The sequence below is a fragment of the Homo sapiens genome, chromosome 14 (assembly GCF_000001405.40).
Source record: "Homo sapiens chromosome 14, GRCh38.p14 Primary Assembly".
Classification (NCBI taxonomy): Eukaryota; Metazoa; Chordata; class Mammalia; order Primates; family Hominidae; genus Homo; species Homo sapiens.
Window position 1 is genome coordinate 21,237,497 of NC_000014.9, and position 24,438 is coordinate 21,261,934.

The following is a 24,438-nucleotide window of genomic DNA, read 5'->3' on the forward strand; positions in this document are numbered from 1 at the left end:
GACCAAGGCTTACTCAGCTTCATCTGCAATATTTTGTCAAGACTACCTCGTCCTACAAGTGGCAATACCTTTTTGTGGTGTTATTGATGCTTAAACAATACCATTTCTCTCTAGGTAGTATGGTGTGGTTTCTCGAGCACCACTTTTAACATGTTACGCAGACTGTTGTTAGAAATCCTAAGAACAGTCCCTCAGTTCTTTCATGTAACAGGTTGCCAGCATCCTTTTATAGTAGTACAATAGTTTAGATAAGTAAAACAAACTCCTTGATCACATTTTTTTTTTAATTTTTTTGAGTTGGAGTTTCACTCGTTGCCAAGGATGGAGTGCAATGGAGCAATCTTGGCTCACTGCAACCTACGCCTCCCTGTTCCAAGTGATTCTCCTGCCTCAGCCTCCCCAGTAGCTGGGATTACAGGCATGCGCCACCAGGCCCGGCTAATTTTGTATTTTTAGCAAAGACCAGGTTTCTCCATGTTGGTCAGGGTGATCTTGAACTTCTGACCTCAGGTGATCCGCCTGCCTCGGCCTCCCAAAGTGCTGGGATTACAGGTGAAAGCCACTGCACTCGGCCCTGATCCCATTTTCTTGCCTTGTTACTCCCTTTACATCTGGAAGGTGTAAAAACCACTTGTAGAATGAATAGGTCTACTTTTGCTTTTTGCCTCATACAGATCTAAATTACTTGGTCATATTCTATATGAATTTTTATAACCGAGTTCTAACAACTAACAACCCAATAGTAATAAATGTCCAGCAATAATAGTCTTTTAAAAATACAACTTCAAGTGATGTGCAAATTATAATTTGAGTCAAAAAAATAGTATCTGAAAACGTACAATACATAGGAGACATAAATGAACTACATAAAAATCATTTAAGAACGGACAGTACAGAAACACATCAAAATATCTTAAAATGTTCTGTGGGTACTCTGCTTGTGATTAATCTTTACAATCATTTTCACAGTTTCTCTGTATTTCCCAAATTCACTACAATGTACATACAAGCTTGGGATTTCTGTAGGAAAAACTCATTTAAGCCAAACAAATATTCCTTAAAACAGAAAATCCATTTGGTAGAAATTTTAAAAGGTTAATCACATTAGTAATAATAGTCCAAGTCTTAATGCACCTGTATATACTCAAATATTTTGAGGTCAATGCCCCTCATCATCATATTTCCCCTCTTCTAGTTGAAGGGGTCTAGAATTTTTCTTTTTTTAATGCAAGCTAACCCAGGGATCCTACTCTATCACCATTTACTAGTATGTAATAGTCGAATAATGCTGTTAGATAATAAAATGGCACTAATTTACATGAACTAGATTTAACATTAAGAAATCTGGGGCTGGGTGCAGTGGCTCACACCTGTAATCCCAGCTCTTTGGGAGACTGAGGCAGGCAGTTCACATCAGGTCAGGAGTTCAAGGCCACTCTGGCCAACATGGTGAAACCCCATCTCTACTAAAAATACAAAAATCAGCCATGCGTGGTGGCCTGCACCTGTAGTCCCAGCTACTCGGGAGGCTGAGACAGGAGAATCGCTTGAACATGGGAGGAGGTTGCAGTGAGCCGAGATCGTGCTAATGCACTCCAGCCTAGGCAACAGAAGGAGACACTGTCTCAAAAACAAACAAACATACAGTTCAAATATTCCAGCCTCCATTATTTGTAAATCAGAAGGTTAAATACTTCAAAAGTGAAGCAGTAGTTTAGTCACATTTCCAGCCAGGCACTTTGGGAGGCCGAGGCAGGTGGATCATGAGGTCAGAACGAGACAGTATCCTAGCTAACATGGTGAAACACCATCTGTACTAAAAATATGAAAATAATTAGCGGGGTATGGTGGCACACACCTGTAGTCCCAGCTATTCGGGAGGCTGAGGCAGGAAAAATGCTTGAACCTTGGAGGCAGAGGTGCAGTCAGCGGAGATAGCGCCACTGCACTCCAGTCTGGGTGACAGAGTGAGATTCTACCTCAAAAAAAAAATGTCCTCAACAAATGAGAACCTTAGGTGCTATTTCTTTCTTAAACTCAACATGTCATGAAAAGCTCTGTCATGAAAAGGATAGACTTTAAAAACCTAAAATTAGGCCAGGCACGGTGGCTCACACCTGTAATCCCAGCACTTTGGGAGGCTGAGGCGAGCAAATCACCTGAGGACAGGAGTTCGAGACCAGCCTGGGCAACATGGTGTAACCCGGTCTCTACTAAAAATACAAAAACTAGCTGGGTGTGGTGGTGGATGCCTGTAATCCCAGCTACTTGGGAGGATGACACAGGAAAATCCCTTGAACCCGTGAGGTGGAGGTTGCAGCGAGCCAAGATCATGCCACTGCACTCCAGCCTTGGCAACCGTGTGAGACTGGGTCTCAAGAGAGAAAAAGGACAAAAAAAGCGGAAAAATAGTGGTTAGCACTCAAATTTCTATTACACACATGGACAAATGCGTTTGTATATTATATACTATAATTTCATTACAGGTTCTTATTCCTGTTTTTAATCAAAGGATCACAAAAGACCTGTTTTACCTAGAAAACAAGTCAAAACCAGGAATACTAAGTTATTTCTAATGCCCAAAAATCTGTGTTTTTGTCTGATATGCTTGTCTGTTTTATCATATGCTCTATCCTGAAGCAATAAAAGCGATACAAGATTTTAATAGTAGTGGGAAGGACAAGAAATTTCCTGAATATAGAAATTTGCCTCTACTCGCACTCTCACCATCCCAGCCACAGCTTAAAAGCAAAAAATAAGTAAAAACTCTATCTAGTTGGGATATAGCCAAACTGTAAATTTTATTTCCAACTGTTCATTGTAAGTGTGAGGTGCTATCATGCCTCTTCACCCTTTTAATGGAGGGAAACCAATCTTGGATTGTCAATCTAGCTAAAATTTTGAAAATATATTTATAAAAATACTTCATTACCATTACATTAACTTTAAATCTCAAGTAATTCAATTCTACTTGGAAAAGGTACGGCAGTTTGCATTATCTGAAGATTTTTTACATAAATAAAGTTCAAGTGGTCCACAAACAGGTTGTGAGAGCCCTGGAATTTGCTGAGAGCTGAGCCAAAATGAATTTGAACATGGAGTCAAGACTTCAGCTTCCTTTTTTATCTGGGCACTGTATGCCAGCTTTGATAGAGTTCAGGTCACAGGAGATAGGTGCCGTTCAACCCAACTGTTTTCAGTATATCTTGGCTTATTTAGTGCAAAAGTATACAAGTTAAACAAAGTACAAGATGTTTCTACTGGGCATTTATTTCAGCAAGCCCTGGCCACCTCTCCACATGGGTTAATCACATTATACTTAAAACACATTATCCAATGGTCCAGGAGAAAAAAATTAAACATGCTGTCACTTTCACTTACCAGACATTATCTCACACTAGAGACAAAGGAAAATATATATTACCTCAGATTTGGAAATTCAAAACCCTGCCTTACAATTTCCTTTATTACTGTATCTTAAAACCTCAACTAGGCCAGGTGCGAAGGCTCACGCCTGTAATCCCAGCACTCTGGGAGGCCGAGGTGGGTAGATCATGAGGTCACGAGTTCAAAACCAGCCTGGCCAACGTGGTGAAACCCTGTCTCTACTAAAGACAAAAATTGGTGGTGGCAGGCGTCTGTAATCCCAGCTACTCGGGGGGCTGAGGCAAAGAACTGCCTGAACCCAGGAGGCGGAGGTTGTAGTAAGCCGAGATTGCACCCCTGCACTCCAGCCTGGGAACAGAGCAAGACTATGTCTCAAAAAAAAAAAAAAAAAAACCACAACCATAACAACAAAAAAACCTAAAGTAGCCCCTGCATTCAATTCAAATTAAATGCCAATTCTATATACTAAATATGCTATATATGTAAAATTTCCCTTCTTTGCAGAATTTCAAAGACAAAAGTGACACTAGATGGCAGCAATGAGTTGTCAATTTTCTAAAAGGTTTACTAAATTTTCTGTATTCCAAAGTTTTCAGTCATTCACAATTTCTTAAGTTTCTGAATACTCTTTGGATACTATAAATTCCTCTGCATACTTGGATGATCTTCATTTGATCTAAGTTGTTGAACACACTTCAAGTCTTATTTTGCCTATTTAGGTCCGGCTACCCTATCCCACATTACTCTCTATCTGGTCACCATTTTTGTACCCTGCTTCCTATGGATCTTATTGCTTTCAACTACTTCCCTCTGGCCTCTTCAGAGGCCAACAATGCCTGGAAAAATATGTGCATTTTAATTTGCTGAACTGCCAAGAATCATTAGCTCATTTAATCAAAAACAGTATCTCAAGGTAAATACTGTGAGAGTAATCTCTGAGAAAACAGTAATACCTGGGGATATTACTAAGACATTTTCAGCCTATGAAGAAACAAAGTTGGCTACTTTTAGAACACATTATGTTAACTGCTATGTTTAAGTATTAGAACTAAGAATACCTAAGACCTTGTACATCATGGTGGGAAAATGAATAATTCAATACATGGTACTACTAGGTAGCCATCTTTTTCAAAAATTGGAACCAACCTCACTCTAAATCCTAATATAAATACAAATCGTGTAAAACTGCACACGCAAAGGTCAAAACCCAAATGAAATAAAACAACTCTCAAAAGGAAGAGTAACAAAATTTAAAAATGGCAGGAAATCCAAACAAATGGATCATAAATATAATCATATATAATAATAATAAGGTGTGGGGCCAGGCAAGGTGGCTCACGCCTGTAATCCCAGCACTTTGGGAGGCCAAGGCAGGAAGATCACGAGGTCAAGAGGTGGAGACCAAACTGGTCAACATAGTGAAACCCCATCTCTACAAAAAATACTAAAAATTAGCTGGGCGTGATGTCAAGCGCCTATAATTCCAGCTACTCTGGAGACTGAGCTAGAAGAATCGCTTGAACCCAAGACGCGGAGGTTGCAGTGAGCCTAGATCGTGCCACTGCACTCCTGTCTGGTCGTCAGTGCAAGACTCCGTCTCAAAAAGATGTTAAGACACATTATTTAAAATTTATTTACATTGGTGAGGACTTAACACCAATTTAACATATGAGAGTACTGTCGATGTATGCTAAAAGCGCCAGGTAAAACTTGGTGAGTGGAGTACAGGATTTGCAAACAGATACTCTATAATTACATAGGGGGAAAATGTATCTTTACAATGAAGACCTGGAGGTCTCAACCTAAACTAAGGGATCATAGTTAGAAAGTTGTAGGACAACCTAACATTGCATGCCTCCTGATGTGACACACTTAAACACGCATTATCACCTACGCATTATTCTCACCAAGCTATCTTTCTAGAATCTATATATGGGGGAAACAATCAGACAATTTCAAGTTTGTGGGCAATCACAATACAACTGGTTTGGACACCTCAAAAAATAAAAACTAGGGGCCTTTTTCTAGATTAAAAAAGCAGTGCCGGCATGGCCAATGTGGTGAAACCCCATCTCTACTAACAATACAAAGATAAGCTGGGTGTGGTGGCACATACCTGTAGTCCCAGCTACTTGGGAGGCTGAGGCAGGAGAATTGCTTGAACCCTAGAAGTGGAGGCTGCAATGAGCGGAGATCAAGCCACCTCACTGTCTCAAAAAGGAGAGGTGGGGGGGTGGGCAGTGTGTGAATTCTGACTGAACACTAGACTGGGCAAAAGAGACATTTTTATCTAGATAATTTTACTATCAATTGTTTAATTACTGAATTGATGTTCATTATTCTTTTGATAATATTTTGGTGGCATGTATTTCCTTTATTCTTAGGAGATGCAGCCACATGGAAGCTCCTAACTTCAGTGCGTATCATGTTTGCTGAAGTATCATGTCAACAAACTTTGAAATCATTCAGGAGAAAAGTGTAGAGGACAAACATGGCAGTTGCTATCCGAAGAGTGGGGCTTACACAGGAATGGTTTATTCTATGTATGTATATATTGTGTTCAAAAGTTTTCTTAAGATGCTATATATAGCAGATTCAAAAATGATATACACCAGATTGCACACTTCACCAAATTTCCAAAGAAAAGATTACATCTTTTTTTCTGTCAAATCTGCTTATGTAACAATGATCATGCAATGAAGTGAAGGAAAAGAAACTGGCATTTCCATTGTTTTAACTAACTAAACCAGTACACGTTTTGTAGGCTCATATGAAAATTCTCAATAAAAGGTATCAAGCAATGGGACGGTAGGTCCCTATATCTGTATTCATTAATCAACTGAGGATATTCAATTTCAAGTACTTCCATGTTTGCTTGGAACTGAATCTTTTATATAAATCTGTGACAAAAGATACTTGACAGCCATTAAACAAAAACATGGTAGAATACTTACTGACTGGAAAACATCTACCACGTAGAGGTTCTAACACTATAATAATTACATATTAGTAAAATATACATATATATATACCTGTAGCTACATAAGACAGAGAACAAAACATAAAAATGTTGATGGTGGTTACCTCTGAGTGCTGATGACATAAGTAAATGAGTAAATACTATTTTTATCTGCATATTTCCTCCAAGTTTTTTTTTTTTTTAAGACGAAGCTTAGCTCTTGTTGCCCAGGCTGGATTGCAGTGTTGCGATCTTCGATCACTGCAACCTCTGCCTTCCGAGTAGCTGGGACTACAGGCGCCCGCCACCACATCCGGATAATTTTTTGTACTTTTAGTAGAGATGGGGTTTCACCATGTTGACCATAGCTGGTCTCCAACTCCTGACCTCAGGTGATCCGCCGACCTCCACGTTCCAAAAGTGCAGGGATTATAGGCGTGAGCCCCCACGCCTGCCCGCAAGTTCTCTCTATAAAGCACTTTTATAATCAAAATTGTTTCCTTTCAATGTATGAGTGATGTAATGCAACAAATAAAAAATTAAGGTCTTAAAACATCTCGATGTAAAAAACTAATTCATGTCATTTAATTTCCCCCGAGGTCCCTCAAAAGATGCTAAAAATTCCATTTAAGGTATCCTTTCTCACTTACCAATGGTGGAGCTTTTGAATTGCCAAAGTCAGAGAACTCACAATCTAATGATATACGATTCTAAATCATAGTTGACTCTTTAATTCTTCCCTTAGCTCTATTCTTGGAATTACATTCATCAGTAAACCAATTAATCACACATTGCTTAATGACAGGGAAATGCATGAGAATTGTATCGTTATGCAATTTTGTCACTGTGTTAATGTCGTAAGAGTGTAGTTACCCAATACCAAGCTAGATAGTGTAGCCTACCACACACCTAGCCTGTATCGTATAGCCTATTGCTCCCAGACTACAAACCTGCATAGCATGCACAGTACTGAACACTATAAGAAGTTCTAACACAGGGCGGGAAAGGTGGTTCACGCCTGTAATCCCAACACGGAGTTTGAGACCAACCAGACCAATATGGTGAAACCCAGTCTCTACTAAAATAACAAAAATTAGCCAGGCGTGGTGGCATGCGCCTGTAGTCCCAGCTACTCAGGAGGCTGAGGCAGGAGAATCGCTTCAATCCCGGAGGCAGACGTAGCACTGAGCCAAGATCACACCACTGCACTCCAGCCTGGGAGACAGAGCGAGACTCCATCTCAAAAAAAAAAAAAAAAAAAAAAGCAAAAGAGAAAACAAGGGCTGAGTCTAAGTTCTAACACAATATTATTTGTGTACTTCAAAAAAGAAAAGGTACAGTAAAAATACAGTATAAAAGATTTCAAAAATGGGCTGGGAGCAGTGGCTCACGCCTGTAATCCCAGTACTTTTGGAGGCCGAGGTGGGTGGATCACTTGAGGTCAGGAGTTCAAGACCAGCCTGACCAACATGGAGAAACCGCGTCTCTACTAAAAATACAAAAATTAGCCAAGCGTGGTGGTGCATGCCTGTAATCCTAGCTACTCGCGAGGCGGAGGCAGGAGAAATCGCTTGAACCCGGGGGGTGGAGGTTGCAGTGGGCTGAGATCGCACCACTGCACTCCAGCCTGGCAACAAAGCGAGACTGTCGCCAAAAAAAATATATATATATTTCAAAAACGGTATACCTATATAAAGCACTTACCATGAATGGAGCTTTTAGGACTGAACGTTGCTTTTGGTGACTGTACTGAGTGAGTGGTGGGTTTGAAGCCCTAAGACATTACCATACACTACTGTGGACTTTATAAACATGGTACACTTAAGGCTACAGTAAGTTTGTAAAACAAATTTTTCTTTTCTTTAATATACTAACCTTATTTAGTTTACTAACATTTTTACTTTGAAAAAACTAAGACATAAACATTAGCCTAAGCCTATAGGTGTTCAGGATCAGCAAGATGTCACTAGGCAACAGAAATTTCTCAGCTCCATTATAATCTCTTTTACTTTTTAGTTTTTTTTGAGGAGTCTCCCTCTGTCACTAAGGCTGGAGTGCAGTGGCGCAGTCTCAGTTCACTACAACCTCCACCTCCCAGGTTCAAGCGATTTTGCCACCTCAGCCTCCTGAGTAGCTGGGAACACAGATGTGCACCACCACGCCTGACTACGGGGTTTGACCATGTTGGCCAGGCTGCTCTCAAATTCCTGACCTGAGGGGATCTGCTTGCCTCGGCCTCCCAAATTGCTGGGATTACAGGCGTGAACCACCACACCTGGCCTGCTCCATTATAATCTTAAGGGGCCATAATATATGTGGTCTGTCATTCACCAAAACATCTATGCAGCACACGGCTCTATATTTTTCTTTGACAAAACATTTCATTCAAACTCTTCCCCATCCTAGCCATCTATGAAAATAAATGATGCCTCAAAGGCTGGGCGCGGTGGCTCATGCCTATAATCCCAGCACTTTGGAAGGCCGAGGCTGGTGGATCACGAGGTTAAGAGATCAAGACCATGCTGGCTAACATGGTGAAACTCCGTCTCTACTAAAAATACAAAAACAAAAAAATTAGCCGGGCGTGTTGGCGGGTACCTGTAGTCCCAGCTACTTGGGAGGCTGAGGCAGGAAAATGGCGTGAACCCGGGAGGCAGAGCTTGCAGTGAGCTGGAGATTGCGCCACTGCACTCCAGCCTGGGAGACAGAGTGAGACTCCGTCTCAAAAAAAAAAAAAAAAGTCGTCTTATAACAAATAAAAGTCTGCCAATTTCCCTTTAACACAGTACTCCAAATTTTGAGTTCCCTTGGAAAAGAAAGGAATAATCTGGATGCTCTCCAGATGCTACTTTTCTGTTTACTTTGGCACTGTCAACACATACAGGAACAATTACAACTGACCTTGAACAATATGGGTTTATACATGGATTTTCTTCAGCCTAAACCACCCAAGACAGTAAGACCAAGCCTTCATCTTCCCCTCAGCCTATTCAATGTGAGGACAATGAAGAAGACATTTGTGATGATTTACTTCTACTTAACAAAGTCAATATATCTTCTGCTCCTTAATAACTTTTTCTTTTCACTAGCTCACTTTCTTGTAAGAATACAGTATATAATGTATAATATACTGAATCTGTGTTAATTAACTTTATCAGTAAGGCTTCTACTCAGCAGGAGCTCATCAGTAAAGTTTTTGGAGAGTTCAAAGTAATATGTGGATTTTTTATTTTTGAGGGGGTGCTGGCAGCTGGTGCCTTAATACCCCTTGTGTTAAGGGTCAACTGTAAATATAAGAATCCTTATTTATCAATGTAATCCTAACCTCTATGTTTTGACAACTCTTGTTGGACTTTTCATTAAGTACAGGGCTTAGCAGTTCGTATTTCATCCTCTTCTACCTAGTTCATAATCACTAAAGATCACATATAGCTCCAGCGTTAAGAAAATTTCAGCCTTTGATTTTGCTGTAAAGTATAAACAACCCCTCTCAATTATGTATCCTTCACTGATAGGACATAACCTCATGAGTCTCATCATTACCGAATTTTCCTTCAATACAAAAGTTTTTCGTGACATATTTCAATTTTTGAACAATAATAATTAGTAAAGTCAATCTCAAATAAGAAGCTGTCCTACATTATTTTTTGTACCCTGAAAAGTTATACTCTGGTTTAGTTTTCTATTTTTTGTACCCCGAAAAGTTACACTCTGGTTTCATTTTTAGCACAACTGAGTATGTTTAAAAAAATAAATCAAAATTTTAGGTAACTCATACTTCCAAATTGAAGTAAACTGAAAGTGGATACAAAAATACCTATCCTTGGCTGGGTGTGGTGGCTCACACCTGTAATCCCAGCACTTTGGGAGGTTGAGGCCAGTGGAACACTTGAGGACAGGAGTTCAAGACCAGCTTGACTAACATGGTGAAACCCCATCTCTACTAACATGGTGAAACCCCATCTCTACTAAAAATACAAAAAAAAAAAAAAAAATTAGCCAAGCATGGTGGCAAGCGCCAGTAATGCCAGCTACTTGGGAGGCCGAGGCATGAGAAAGAATCGCCAGAACATGGGAGGCGGAGGTTGCAGTGAGCCGAGATCACGCCACTGCACTCCAGCCTCGGCGATGCAGTAAGATTACATCATAAAAAAGAAAAAAAAAACCCGTATCATCACAAATTCAAGCCATGTCCACTATGACCGAACCTTAAAATGAGGTCACATTTTAAATAGAGTATAAACAAAAAACTTTTGGAGGCTGAGGTGGGAGATTGCTTGAGCCCAGGAGTTAAGAGACCAGACTGGCCAACAACGTAAGCAAGACCTTATCTCCACCAAAATTAAAAATAAAATAACGCCCAGGTAACTTTGTTGTACTTTTAGTACAGACGGGGTTTTGCCATGTTGCCCAAACTGCTCTCAAATGCCTGGTTTCAAGTATCTCCCCATCTCAGCCTCCAAAATTTGGGATTACAGGCGTGAGCCCCTGCAACCAGCCTAGACACATGTGTTTCAAGATCAACAACTTGCTAGTGGCATGCACTTTCTTTGGGAAGTCAATCTCTTTGAAAATCAGCTTCCTTATCTGTAAAATGAGTATCATTGATAGTATTTGTCTCACAGGATAGGAATGAAGCATAAATGAAACAAGGTACACAAAACACTGGAAAAGATGGTAACTGGCACTTAACAAGTGCCGCTGCTGCTACTGTTATCATTTACTGTTATTGGCACATACCAACAAAAAATGGCCCAAGGACACAAACAGGTGACTAACAATACTAAAGGTATATGAAGATTAAAAAGATTAACACTATCAAGGAAATATAAATTAAACCAAGTACCATGTTCCACCTACCAAACAAGCAAATACATTTTTAATTACAGTGTCTACTGCAAGCAATGGTCAAAATAAATGGTCCGTATGAACCCATACTGCATTTCCAGAAAACGGGATCATTACATCAAAAGTTTTAAAACTGCGTGTTTTTTGACTCAGTAATTTTAACTTTGAGAATTCATCTGAAAGAAACAATGGTGTGGACACATTAACAGTAAAAAAGGAGAAAACAAGTGCCTGACAATGAGTACAAATTATTTCAGTGCAGCAATCCAATGGAATGCAATTTAAATGACACGTGACATTGACGTGGAGGAGCATAACCAAAGTATGTACAAGTTATCTAGAAGATTACATACCAAGGTGACATCTAAGGATGGGATGGGGTTTTGAGTTTTTTAAATTTTTCTCAACTTTTCACTAATAATACATAATGCTTTTGTAATTTTTCCTTCTGCAAAGATAGCAAAATGCTACCCTGAAACTTAGTCATCATGATACACAGATAACTGAGTCAGCAAAGCTCTTCTGCAAAACCCTAAGCAAAAACTGGGCCCTTCTCTTCCCCAAGAGCAATTCAGAACTAAACAGAATCAAGGAATTGGGGCTGGGCGCAGTGGCTCACGCCTGTAATCCTGCCAGCACTCTGGGAGGCCGAGGCAGGTGGATCACCAGAGGTCAGGAGTTTGAGACCAGCCTGACCAACATGGTGAAACCCTATCTCTACTAAAAATACAAAAAAAAAAAAAAAAATTAGCCAGGTGTGGTGGCACGTGCCTGTAATCCCAGCTACTTGGGAGGCTGAGGCTAGAGAATTGCTTGAACCGGGAAGCAGAGATAGCAGGGAGCCTAGATCTCGCCACTGCACTCCAGCCTGGGCAACAAGAGCGAAAACTGTGTCTCAAAAACAAAAAAAAAAAAAAAAAAAAAAGAATCAATGAATTGGGTACCTCTAGATTCACTGAACATTGTATTACATATTTTGGGGTCTATTAGCCATTGGAAGTCCCAAATTACATAGAAATTTCTCTCTACATTCTCAACCTTCACATTTCATTGTGCCATCATTAAAGTGTTTCGGGGGTGTTACGACATAAAAGTCCATCATACTCTAACGTAGAGCAACTTCTGTTTGGAAAACACTTTTTAAAGAAAGGTTCCAGAATCTGTAAGTATCCAACAAACACCAGGAATATTTTAAAGAATGCTTTACCTAGGTTAAGATTTAATATTTCAAAATGACTTCAGTAAGGTCAATACATCTTTACTGAGAACTGAATCAAGAGAATATGCAATATGCAAAAATAATAAAACACAGGAAGGTCTTATTTCTAATATAACTGATAATCTATATGAATGAAAATAACAGCATGGTTAGTATGACTACCTGTATACTAAATTCATTAAAAAATACAAAAATTAGCTGGAGGTGGTGGCGCACACCTGTAGTCCAGGCTACTCGGGAGGCCAAGGCAGGGGAATTGCTGTAACCTGGGAGGCAGAGGTTGCAGTGAGCCGAGATCGCACCACTGCACTCCAGCCTGGGCAACGGAGCGAGACTCCACTTCAAAAAAAAAAAAGAAATCCACATTTAAATACTTAGGGGTCTTTTGTCTTCAGTCAGCAATTTCCTTGCAAATGGTTCAGCAAAAAAATAAAATGAAACATGGCAATCCTGGTGGAAGGTATATTAAGAATTCATTAGACTGTTCTGTATGTTTACATATTTTCCTTAAAACACTCAAGGAAAAAAATTATAACTATGACAGATCTACCTTGATTCACAAGGTATTTTGAATGTTAATCTCAGCTTTCATAACCAAGAATGGTTATATCACGCCAAGATATATGATCTGCATTAAGAGTTCAGATAATTCAAAGCACGTATTTCAGAACAGCATATGTATCTCCAGCCTGCCAGCTTTGAAATTTTTAATTCTGTTTGTAATTTAGAAGTCATTATTTCAAATTTTGCAAATAAAATGTCATGTTTTATATTGTATTATTTCCAATGTAAAGTAAATGTGGCTACACTGTAGTCTTCAACATTCTCCACAAACATCAAAAACCACTCCTGCCAAAAAGTCCACCGAAATTTGTAATTCCCAAGCCAAGTAATAAAAAAGGAGTGAAAAGTGTTCTAGATTCGTTCTTTTCAATGTGCATATCGGTACCACTGGGGTAGGGTGAGACTCTATTCCTAGGTAGCTCCCAGATGGTGATGATGCTATGCTGGAGCACAGGCTATTTTCTGAATAGAAAGGGCCAACATTCATTCTCAAGACTTCCATTTCCGGCCGGGCGCGGTGGCTCACGCCTGTAATCCCAGCACTCTGGGAGGCCGAGGCGGGTAGATCACGAGGTCAGGAGATCGAGACCGTCCTGGCTAACATGGTGAAACCCCATCTCTACTGAAAACACAAAAAATTAGCCGGGCATGGTGGAGGGCGCCTGTAGTCCTGGCTACTCGGGAGGCTAAGGCAGGAGAATGGTGGGAACCTGGGAGGCAGAGCTTGCAGTGAGCCGAGATCGCACCACTGCACTCCAGCCTGGACAACAGAGCAAGACTCCCTCTCAAAAAAAAAAAAAAAAAAAAAAAAGACTTCATTTCCTTGTTATCTTACAGAAAGTTTCAATTTTATCAGTGACCTCAGACTGAGCATGAGTTGTAACAAAGTATACTTTAAGTCTACTCTGGTCTACAATGCTTGCAGCCAGGTGTGGTGGCTCACACCTGTACTCCCAACACTTTGGGAGGCAGAGGCGGGCAGATAACTTGAGGTCAGGAGTTCCAGACCAGCCTGGCCTACACGGTGAAACCCTGTCTCCACTAAAAATACAAAATCTAGCCAAGCGTGGTAGTGGTGGGTGCCTGTAATCCCAGCTACTTGGGAGGATGAGGCAGGAGAACTGCTTGAACCCGGGAAGTGGAGGTTGCAGTGAGCCAAGACTGCGCCGCTGCACTCCAGCCTGGGCAACAGAGACTCCGTCTCAAAAAAAAAAGACACACGTATTAGGAAAAATAGTCTCAGATTTTAGAAATACTATGCTTTTTTTGTTGTGTAGCATCTGGGAGAGCACAGTTACCACATCAAATATTTCTGCAGGAATACATATAAATTTTCAGTAAATTTCACACATAGAACATAAATAATCTCACATCAGTTAAGATCAGTTTTTTTTGCCAAATTGAGTCTTGGTGTCAAATGCAAAATTTGTCAGAGATTTTAAAATTTCTAAATTATGGATAAGATTTTAGACAGGTATAACAAAATAATAACCTAGCAGCCCAGAATAATTTTTAACAAGGATATTTGGCTTAAAGTTATTACAGTATTCTCTTAAACAGCCAAAACAGGAGATTATATCTAAATTTGAGAATAGTAAAAGGTTTGATTTTTATCACCAATGAGTATAACCATAAGACCCCCAACTCCTAAGAAAATTTCAAAACCTACCTTTAGTAAACAACACTTCCAAAATTCCATACAGGACTGTTAGCAAAAGAACAAATAAACAAAAAGACCCCACCAACCATGTTATCCCCGTAGAAATAAAACAGCATTGAGGAATGCCTTACTCAGTTCTCAGGGTAGTACTTCTGATACTAAATGGACTTGTTGGTCTTTTTTTGTTGTTGTTTTTGTTTTAAGTCTCACAATATCACCCAGGCTGGAGTGCAGTGGCAGTATCTTGGCTCACTGCAACCTCTGCCTCCTGAGTTCAAGGGATCCTTCTGCCTCAGACTTCCAAGTAGCTGGGATTACACACATGCACTGCCCTACCCAGGTAATTTTTTTGTATTCTTAGCAGAGACAGGGTTTCACCACATTGGCCAGGCTGGTCTCGAACTCCTGGCCTGAAGTGATGTGCCCACCTTGGCCTCCCAAAGAGCTGGCATTACAGGCATGAGCCACCATGCCAGGCCTCTAAATATGTTTAGTATTAAAATAGTTAATTTATTAAACGTTTTTGGTGGGATAATTGTGGTTAAGTCCTAATTCTTTTTAAAATACACACTGAAATATCTACAGATGAAATGTATCAAGAATTTGCTTCAAAATAACATGGGAAGGGGGTGGATGGGGAGATGTAGATACAAACAAAAAGGCTGGCCAAGGATTATTAAAGTGAGACAAGTACATGGAAGTTCATTATACTATTCTCTTTTGTGTATGTGAAATTTTTTCACAATTAAAAGATAGCACCAGGCGGGTGCAGTTGCTCACACCTGTAATCCCAGCACTTTGGGAGGCCGAGGCCGGCAGATCACAAGGTCAAGAGATCAAGACCATCCTGGCCAACATGGTGAAACCCCATCTCTACTAAAAATACAAAAATTAGCCGGGCGTGGTGGAGCGTAACTGTAATCTCAGCTACTCAGGAGACTGAGGCAAGGGAATCGCTTGAACCTGGGAGGTGGAAGTTGCAGTGAGCCGGGATCGCACCACTGCACTCCAGCCTGGCAACAGAGCAAGACTCTGTCTTTAAAAAAAAAAAAAAAAAGACTGGCCAGGCGCGGTGGCTCACGCCTGTAATCCCAGCACTTTGGGAGGCCAAGGCAGGTGAATTATGAAGTCAGGAGATCAAGACCATTATGGCCAATATGGTGAAACCCCATCTCTACTAAAAAAAAAAAAAAATACAAAAAATTAGCTGGATGCCTGTAGTCCCAGCTACTCCAGAGGCTGAGGCAGTAGAATGGCGTGAACCCAGGAGGCGGAGCTTGCAGTGAGAGAGATCACGCCACTGCACTCCAACCTCTAGACTCCATCTCAAAAAAAAAAAAAAAAAAAAAAAAGATAGCACCAAAGATGTGCATGCACCTGAAAACAAAAATTACATGTGAATCTCAAACTATACACAGAAATATAGACAACATTGTATCAATGTTTCACTCAAAATCTATCAACATTTTTACTATTCAACTTAAAAACTTAGCAAATCCTTCAGAATAATACAGGGTCAAATCTTAAAGCAAAAGATCCAAAGTAATTCACAAAACTAGAAATTAAGTATTAGTGGCCGCTAACACTGCCAATAAATTGCTAAACTTATTAGCTTCTGGAGAACAAACTTAAGAACTTTTTAAAATGTGCGGCCAGGCGCGGTGGCTCAGGCCTGTAATCCCAGCACTTTGGGAGGCTAAGGCGGGCAGATCACGAGGTCAGCAAATCGACACCATCCTGGCTAACACGGTGAATCCCCGTCTCTACCAAAAAAAAATTAAAAAATTAGCTGGGTGTGTTGGCACGCACCTATAGTCCCAGCTACTCAGGAGGCTGAGGCAGGAGAATGGCATGAACCCGGGAGAGGGAGCTTGCAGTGAGACCATGCCACTGCACTCCAGCCTGGGCTAGAGTGAGATTCCGTCTCAAAAAAAAAAAAAAAAAAAGTGCATACTCTGCCCACCTCCCCGGCAAAAAAGATGTGCATACCCTTGAATAATTATATTTCTGGGGCTTAAATGTAAGAAAATAAAGATATGCACAACTGTAGTTTTGACTGTCCAAAGCTTTGTTTACAAAAGAAAAAATGGGGACGAGTACAACAGTGTATTGGTAAAATAAAATATAGTACAAGTATACAATGTACCATGTAGTATTATAGAGTATATAATACTATGTAACTACTACAAATTTTTCAGAGATCTGTATCTACTAACATAAGCTATTCAGGTTAAATTTAAAATTATTACTTAAATATATATGCTGTATGACAGTGCTTTTTGAAGTTTATATAAGCCCCAAAAAGCCTGGAAGAACACCCCAAATGTTATCTTTGGATAGCTGTATTTTCTAAAAATGTTCTATGAGCATGTATTACTTTATTCGGATCAAAGGTAAGATAAAGATGAGGTACCTCCTCTCCCAAATCCACATCAATCTTCAGTCACTTGACTAGTATTCCTTTTCAAAGGAGTAATAAAACTCCATTTTAGCAAGCTGCGGTGGCTCACGCCTGTAATCCCAGCACTTTGGGAGGCCGAGATGGGCGGATTGCCTGAGGTCGCGAGTTCGAGACCAGCCTGGCCAGCATGGTGAAACCCTGTCTCTTGTAAAAATACAAAAATTAGCCAGGCGTGGTGGCAGGCGCCTGTAATCCCAGCTACTCGGGAAGCTGAGGCAGGAGAATCACTTGAATCCGGGAGGCGGAGGTTGCGGTAGGCGGAGGTTGCGGTGAGCCAAGATCGTGCCATTGCACTCCAGCCTGGGCAACAGAGCGAGACTCTAGTCTCAAAAAAAAAACAAAAAAAAAAACCAGAAAAACTCCATTTTAAACAGCATAGCCATAACTCTAGCATGAATTCCACAAACTTAAGGGTAATAGCATGAGAAAACTTTTCTTCTCGCTCTGAAGCTAGAAAACCCACTTATGTGAAGATTTTATTTAAAGGATCAATATAGGGAGTGACAATGCATTATGAATAGTTTATCCTCTTCAGAATACCTATTTTAGTTAGAGGACTGGAGGAAAATTTTTGTTCAAAATGTACTCTACTAAACTCCTAAATGTTATTCAAGACTAGCCAGAAAAGCCTAAATCTGGTTCAATGAACTCCTGGAGTTTTTTCAGTTTTAAAATCAACTCAGGAGCCATAGGTCAATATAATTAGAAAACAGGAAGAATATTTCAGACTGGTAAAGTCAGAATCAGATTAGGTAGAAATAATAAAAAAAAAGTTCTCTAATTCACTCTACCTCTTACAAATAGCCATGCTTTCTCAGTAGAGAATACATATTTTTAAAATGGTCAAGCTCTCCCAAATGTTGATACAGGCAACACGGTAGTCTATGTGCTCAAATGCTAACTCGACTCTATCACAGCTAAACCTTTTAAAGCAGTTTCTTCAACTATTAACACTGCTTACTAAACCCCTATTACACAGACTAGCTATGCTATTTATGCCCACACAGAATCACAAGAGTTGATGTACATTTTTAAGCTTTTTAATTAGAAGGAAAATACTACCACATTGATCATTATAATAGTCTTAAGCACATAGTACACAAGTTTCAAATCTCCTAAATCCCACTTCTTGCCCAGAGGCAATCAATGTTAATTGTTTGGCATATGTATTTCTGGACATATCTCTTATGTCTTTACATAGAAAAAAACAAATTCTACAGTTGGTGATAAGTGCTAAAGAGTATTTAGGAGAAGGGGAGCTTAAAGCGCTAAATAAGGGAAGACACATCACTAAGGGGGTAGCTTCTGAGTAAAAAGTCTCAGAGGAACTGAGGAACCAAACTGTATGAGTCAGAGAAAATTCCAAGGAAAAGCCCTAAAGTGGAAACATATCCAATGTGTTCAATACAGTTAAGAAGGCCAGTGTGGCTGAAGCACAGTATATTAACAGCAAGGGAAGGGACACAACAAATCACGTGGGATGCCCTGTAAATCACAGAAAAATTTTTGACTTCAATGCTGAAAAAGGCAGCCATTAGGTTGTTTGTTTTCAGGCAAAACATTTTTCAATGGCCAGGCGTGGTGGATCACGCCTGTAATCCCAGCACTTTGGGGAGGCAGAGACGGGCAGATCACAAGGTCAAGAAATCGAGACTATCCTGGCCAACATGGTGCAACCCTGTCTCTACTAAAAATAAAAAACAAATTAGCTGGGCTTGGTGGCTGGTGCCTGTAATCCCAGCTACTTGGAAGGCTGAGGCAGGAGAACTGCTTGAACCCGGGAGGCAGAGGTTGCGGTGAGCCGAGCTCGCACCACTGCACTACAGCCTGGGCAAAGAGAGCAAAACTCCATCTCCCCCCCAAAAAAAAAATCCTTCAAACAATACATTTTAGGATCAATCTAGCTATCACTTTTAAGAACAAAACTAGTGGGGAGGGACAAAAGAAATACAAACCTATTATATATAATAATGCACAGGAGACAAGGGTGGCTTGAAATTGGACCAAGTGTCGACAGTATGAGTAGTGGTATATTTTGAAGAGCTGACAGCATTTTTTCCTTTCTTTTTTTTGTGATAGGGTCTTGCTCTGTCACCCAGGCTGGAGTGCAATGGTGCGGGTGCGATCTCGGCTCACTGCAACCTCTGCTTCCTGGGCTCAAGCGATTCTCATGCCTGTCTCTCAAGTAGCTGGGACTACAGACACTTGCCACCACTCCTGGCTAATTTTTGTATATTTTTGAAGAGACAGGGTTTCACCATGTTGCCCAGGCCGGTCTCAAACCCCTGAGCTCAAGCGATGCGCCTCCCTCAGCCTCCCAAAGTGCTGGGATTACAGGCCTGAGCTACCACACCTGGCCAACATGATTTTCTAATAGGCCAAAGGTGAGAAGAGTAAAAGTCAAGGATGGCTAGCCAAAATCTTTGGCCCAAGAGACACAAAAATTGTTTCATTAACTGAAAAAGGCAACAGTACACAAGAGACTGGTTTGAGGCATGAACATCAGGAGCACAGTTTTGCACTTTTAAGTTGACATATTGGATATTCAACAGAGTTGTCATGCAGGTAAACTGAATTGGTATGACATTCGAAAGAAAAGTATAGGCTGTTGATCTTAAGTGTCGAAATCAGCTTATAGGTGGTATATTACATCATGAATGAATCTGAATGAAATTGGACCCAGAGTGTGGACAGAAAAGAGAAGTGGAAGGACTGAACCATGGGGCACTCCAACAGAAAGAAGTTTAACATGTAACAGAAACATGTAACAAAAACCTGGAAGCAAAGTAAAAAAAAAATAAAAACGTTTCAAGGAAGAGATCTGGTTAAATGGAACCAACAGGTCAAGTGAGATGAGGATTGAAAAAGGACCCCTGGGCTTAGTTAATGCATCCGTCTCCGTGGTTCTTTTTTAACCACAAATAATTTTTTTCTAACTGAAGTTCACTTCGGTTTTATAAGTCTTAGAAAAAAAAAAAAGATAGCTCACTTTTGTTTTTTTACTTTAAGAGATAGGGTCTCACTCTTGTCACCCAGGCTGGAGTACAGTGGCGCAATCATAACTCACACTGACCTCAAACTCCTGAACTCAATTAATTCTACCGCCTCAGCCTCCCAGGGAGCTACACTACAGCTGTGTGCCACCGTGCCCAGCTTTTTGTAGACAGGCTCTTGCTATGTTGCCAGACTTTCCTGGCCTTAAGCTATCCTCCAACTTCAGCCTCCCAAAGTGCTGGGATTATAGGCATAAACTGCTGCAACTGGCCTAAAGCTCACTTTTAAAATGTGCTTGCTTCCCTATTAACAATGCCATCACAACCATGGTAACATTTTACCAAGATACATCTACCTAAACATTAACTACCTTGCACATATACACATCTTTAAGCCATTTAAGGTGTTGGGAAATCAAGGGCAAAAATATAAACATATTTAGTTTTAAAATTTTAATAATAAAAGTCCAAAGTTGTTCTTTGGAACTTTAACCAAACTAAAATCTGTTTTTCTAGAATGCTCAGCCGGACACAGTGGCTCACGCCTGTAATCCCAGCACTTTGGGAAATCGAGGTGGGCGGATCACGAGGTCAGGATTTCTAGACCAGCCTGGCCAACATGGTGAAACCCCATCTCTACTAAAATATAAAAATTAGCTGGGTGTGGTGGTGCATGCCTGCAATCCCAGCTACTCAGGAGGCGGAGGCACAAGAATCGCTTGAACCCAGGAGGCGGAGGTTGCAGTGAGCCAGAGATCATGCCACTGCACTCCAGCCTGGTGACAGAGCGAGACTATGTCTCAAAAAAAAAAAAAAGTTCAACATATCAAAGTGACGAAAGGAGTCTACTATCATTAAGTGTTGAAATCTGCACCCTTAATCCCAGGGTTGAATCCATGCTAAACCACTAAAGCAGTTTAACTTTAGGCAAGTTATTTAAATTCTGTACTCCAATATTCTCACCTCTAAAACATGAATAACAGTATCTACTCCTACTCAAGGTTTTGATGATGATTAAGTTAACACAAACTCACAACTTTAACAGTGTTGGACATAGTCAAGTGTTTAGAATACTTCCATAAATTAATGTCCTGCTACTTTTTTCTGCCAAATCAGAAAGCCATTATATGACCCAACAAGGTATCAGAAATAATTAGTAATTTCCTGGAGCCTCATCAGTTCTCAACCTATCTTACTCAGACTGATTTTGCTCATTAATACACCCAATAAAAACTCATTTGAAAAACCAGGGCAAGTTATTGTTAGGCTTGGGATGATTATTTTCTTCAAGAGATTGAGACAGTGGCCTACTCTAATAGGTCTCCAAACTTACTGCCCTACTTGCCCTCTTAGTTCTCATCACTAATATTCCCTACACAACAGAAGATAAACCAGACCTCTTCTTCAAAATCCTTCAATAGATTCTACTTGTGCCCAAGACAGGATCTTAAACAAGACCCTCTAAGGTCCCGTGCTATGAAATGTTTGGTCCTTGCCTACCTCTCTAACTCCATCCCTCATCTATGTATTCTTGGTAATTATTTTCCAGTATTATTTCTTACTTGGAGGCCAAGTCTTGTTCCCCCTCATTATCTGTGCTTTCACATATGGTTTTCTTACAGAATGAGCTTCACCATTAGCTACTTCCACGTAGCTAAGCTTCCCTGGCAGCATCCCCCAAATTCCATGTTCTAATTTTGGTTCCCTTGCCATCTTCTCATCCACGCTCTTCTTTTCCTTCATCGATCCTTACTGTGAAAAGTGCCATTTACTTTGTTTCTTCCCTCAATGATCTATAATATCTAAGAGGGCAGGGGACATGTTTTGTTCATCCCTATATGCCCAAACCTAATGATTTTCAAATAGTACTCAGATACTTAATAAAACATCTTATACTTGAATGTTCCTTGAATACCTCCAAGATGTTTAAAATATTCTTTTTCCCACCCTCAAACTATAATCTGCTCCCTTCATTCATTCCCCAATATCTATCCCTATCCCAGAAGCTAGAAACCAGCAATCATGCCAAATCTGTGTTCTTGTCCACCTTATCACATCCATCCTGAGATGCTCCTAATTTTACCTCCTAATCTCTAATCTCATAGCATTACCTTTGTCCAAGCCAGGTCGTTATTCTTTCTTGGATTTTAATATCTCCTTTATTAATCTCCTACTTCCAATCTCATTTCCTCTACACCATTTCCATACTGTTATTAGAAAGACATTCCTAAAAATTAAAATCTTCCAGGAGTTTTTGAGACCAGCCTGGGAAACAAAATGAGACCTGTCTCCACCAAAAAAAAAAAAAAACAATAAAAAATAGTCAGGTGGGCCGGGCGCGGTGGCTCACGCCTGTAATCCCAGCACTTTGGGAGGCCGAGGCGGGCGGATCACGAGGTCAGGAGATCGAGACCATCCCGGCTAAAACGGTGAAACCCCGTCTCTACTAAACATACAAAAAAATTAGCCGGGCGTAGTGGCGGGCGCCTGTAGTCCCAGCTACTTGGGAGGCTGAGGCAGGAGAATGGCGTGAACCTGGGAGGCAGAGCTTGCAGTGAGCCGAGATCGTGCCACTGCACTCCAGCCTGGGCAACAGAACAAGACTCCATCTCAAAAAAAAAAAAAAAAAATTAGCCGGGCATAGTAGCAGGTGCCTGTAATCCCAGGTACTCGGGAGGCTGAGACAGAGAACTGCTTGAAACCAGGAGGCAGAGGTTGTGGTGAGCCAAGATCACACCACTGCACTCCAGTCTAGGTGACAGAGCGAGACTCCGTCTTATTTAAAAAAAAAAAAAAAAAAAAATCCCTTTATGTGATTAAGGTAGAAGGAATAAATTTATAAATTTAAAGTTATAAATAAAAATAATAAAAAAAGGATTCCCTGACCTCTCAGGGTTAGTTAGGTAACCATTTCTGCATGCTTTCTTTTTTTAAAAAGAGATGGGGTCTCGCTGGGTGCGGCAGCTCACACCTGTGATCCCAAAACTTCAGGAGGCTGAGGCGGGTGGATCACCTGAGGTCAGGAACTTGAGACCATCCTGGCCAACATGGCATCTCTACTGAACCCTGTCTCTACTAAAAATAGAAAAATTTAAGGCCAGGTGCAGTGGCTCATGCCTGTAATTCCAGCACTTTGGGAGGCCGAGGCGGGCAGACCATGAGATCAGGAGTTTGAGACCAGCCTGGCCAACATGGTGAAACCTCGTCACTACTAAAAATACAGAAATTAGCCGTGCATGGTGGTCCGTGCCTGTAGTCTCAGCTACTCGGGAGGCTGAGGCAGGAGAATCGCTTGAACCCGGGAGGTGGAGGTTGCAGTGACCCAAGATGGCACCACTGCACTCCAGCCTGGGAAACAGAGCGAGACTGTCTCAAAAAAAAAAAAAAAAAAAAAGATGGGGTCTCATTATGTTGCCCAGCCTGGAGTGCAGTGGATAATCACATCACACACTACAGTCTCTCAAATCCTGGGCCAAGGGACCCTCCTGCCTCAGCCTTCCAATTAGTTGTGACTACAGGCTTACAGGCAGGTACCAACGCCCCCAGCTTATTTTGGCATGCTTCTATAGGATATGTGTTTACCTCTCATCATATATGGACATTATTTCATTCATGTGTCTCCCTCACTAAGCTGCGAAGCCCTTAAACATAATAAACTATTTTTTATATCCCCAAACACAACATGTCCCATAAAAATAATAAATTTGTAGAATTAACAAGGAATAAATCAAACTGAACCTATAGTGAACAGCTTCCGTACACTGACAGCAGCAAAGAAGAAAAAATAGCTCTCATACAATAGAGAGCATCAATAAAACTTGCACTTATTTAAAAAATAAAGATTCCCATTCTTTTTCTAGATAACTTCCAGGAATCTTTTGCTTTTTCTCCCATTCTGTTTTGAGTGTACCTCTGGTGTTCACTTTAACTAGATTTCACTTTTCATCCGAGTATGGTATAAGGGGGCAAGTTTGTGATTTACCCTAGTACAACAGTACCGAATATGCCTTCAAAAAATTATTCCAGGTTAGGTGCAGTGGCTCATGCCTGTAATGTCAACACTTTGGGGGTGTCAAGGCAGGAGGATCGCTTGAGCCCAGGAGTTCAAGACCAGCCTAGACAACATAGCGAGACCCTGTCTCTACAAAAAATAGAAATATTTTAAAATAAAATCTAATTATCTCCCAGCTTGAAACCTATCAGAGCAACTCTAAAATGGTTATCAAAACATTTTGCTGCAGTGAGTAAAATACTACGGGTTGCTCAACTTCTCTTTGGCTATCCACATCTTTACTAATCTCTACACCATTCCTGTGAATAACACAGAATACACTCCTTCTTAACATC

At 40.6% G+C, this 24,438-nt stretch overlaps 1 protein-coding gene across 18 annotated transcripts in view, besides 1 other annotated feature; it reads right to left on the reverse strand.

Moving 5' to 3' along the window:
• The window catches only part of HNRNPC (heterogeneous nuclear ribonucleoprotein C), a 60,296-nt gene that overhangs the window by 28,350 nt on the left and 7,508 nt on the right, over positions 1–24,438 (reverse strand). The gene's annotated exons all lie outside the window — the stretch shown is intronic.
• Positions 16,814–17,751: an enhancer, noted in NCBI's record as "H3K4me1 hESC enhancer chr14:21722469-21723406 (GRCh37/hg19 assembly coordinates)". NCBI's record gives its function as "activates a minimal SCP1, AML or CMV promoter by ChIP-STARR-seq in naive and primed H9 embryonic stem cells {active_cell/tissue: H9 hESC(naive and primed)}" and the evidence as "EXISTENCE:reporter gene assay evidence [ECO:0000049][PMID:30033119]".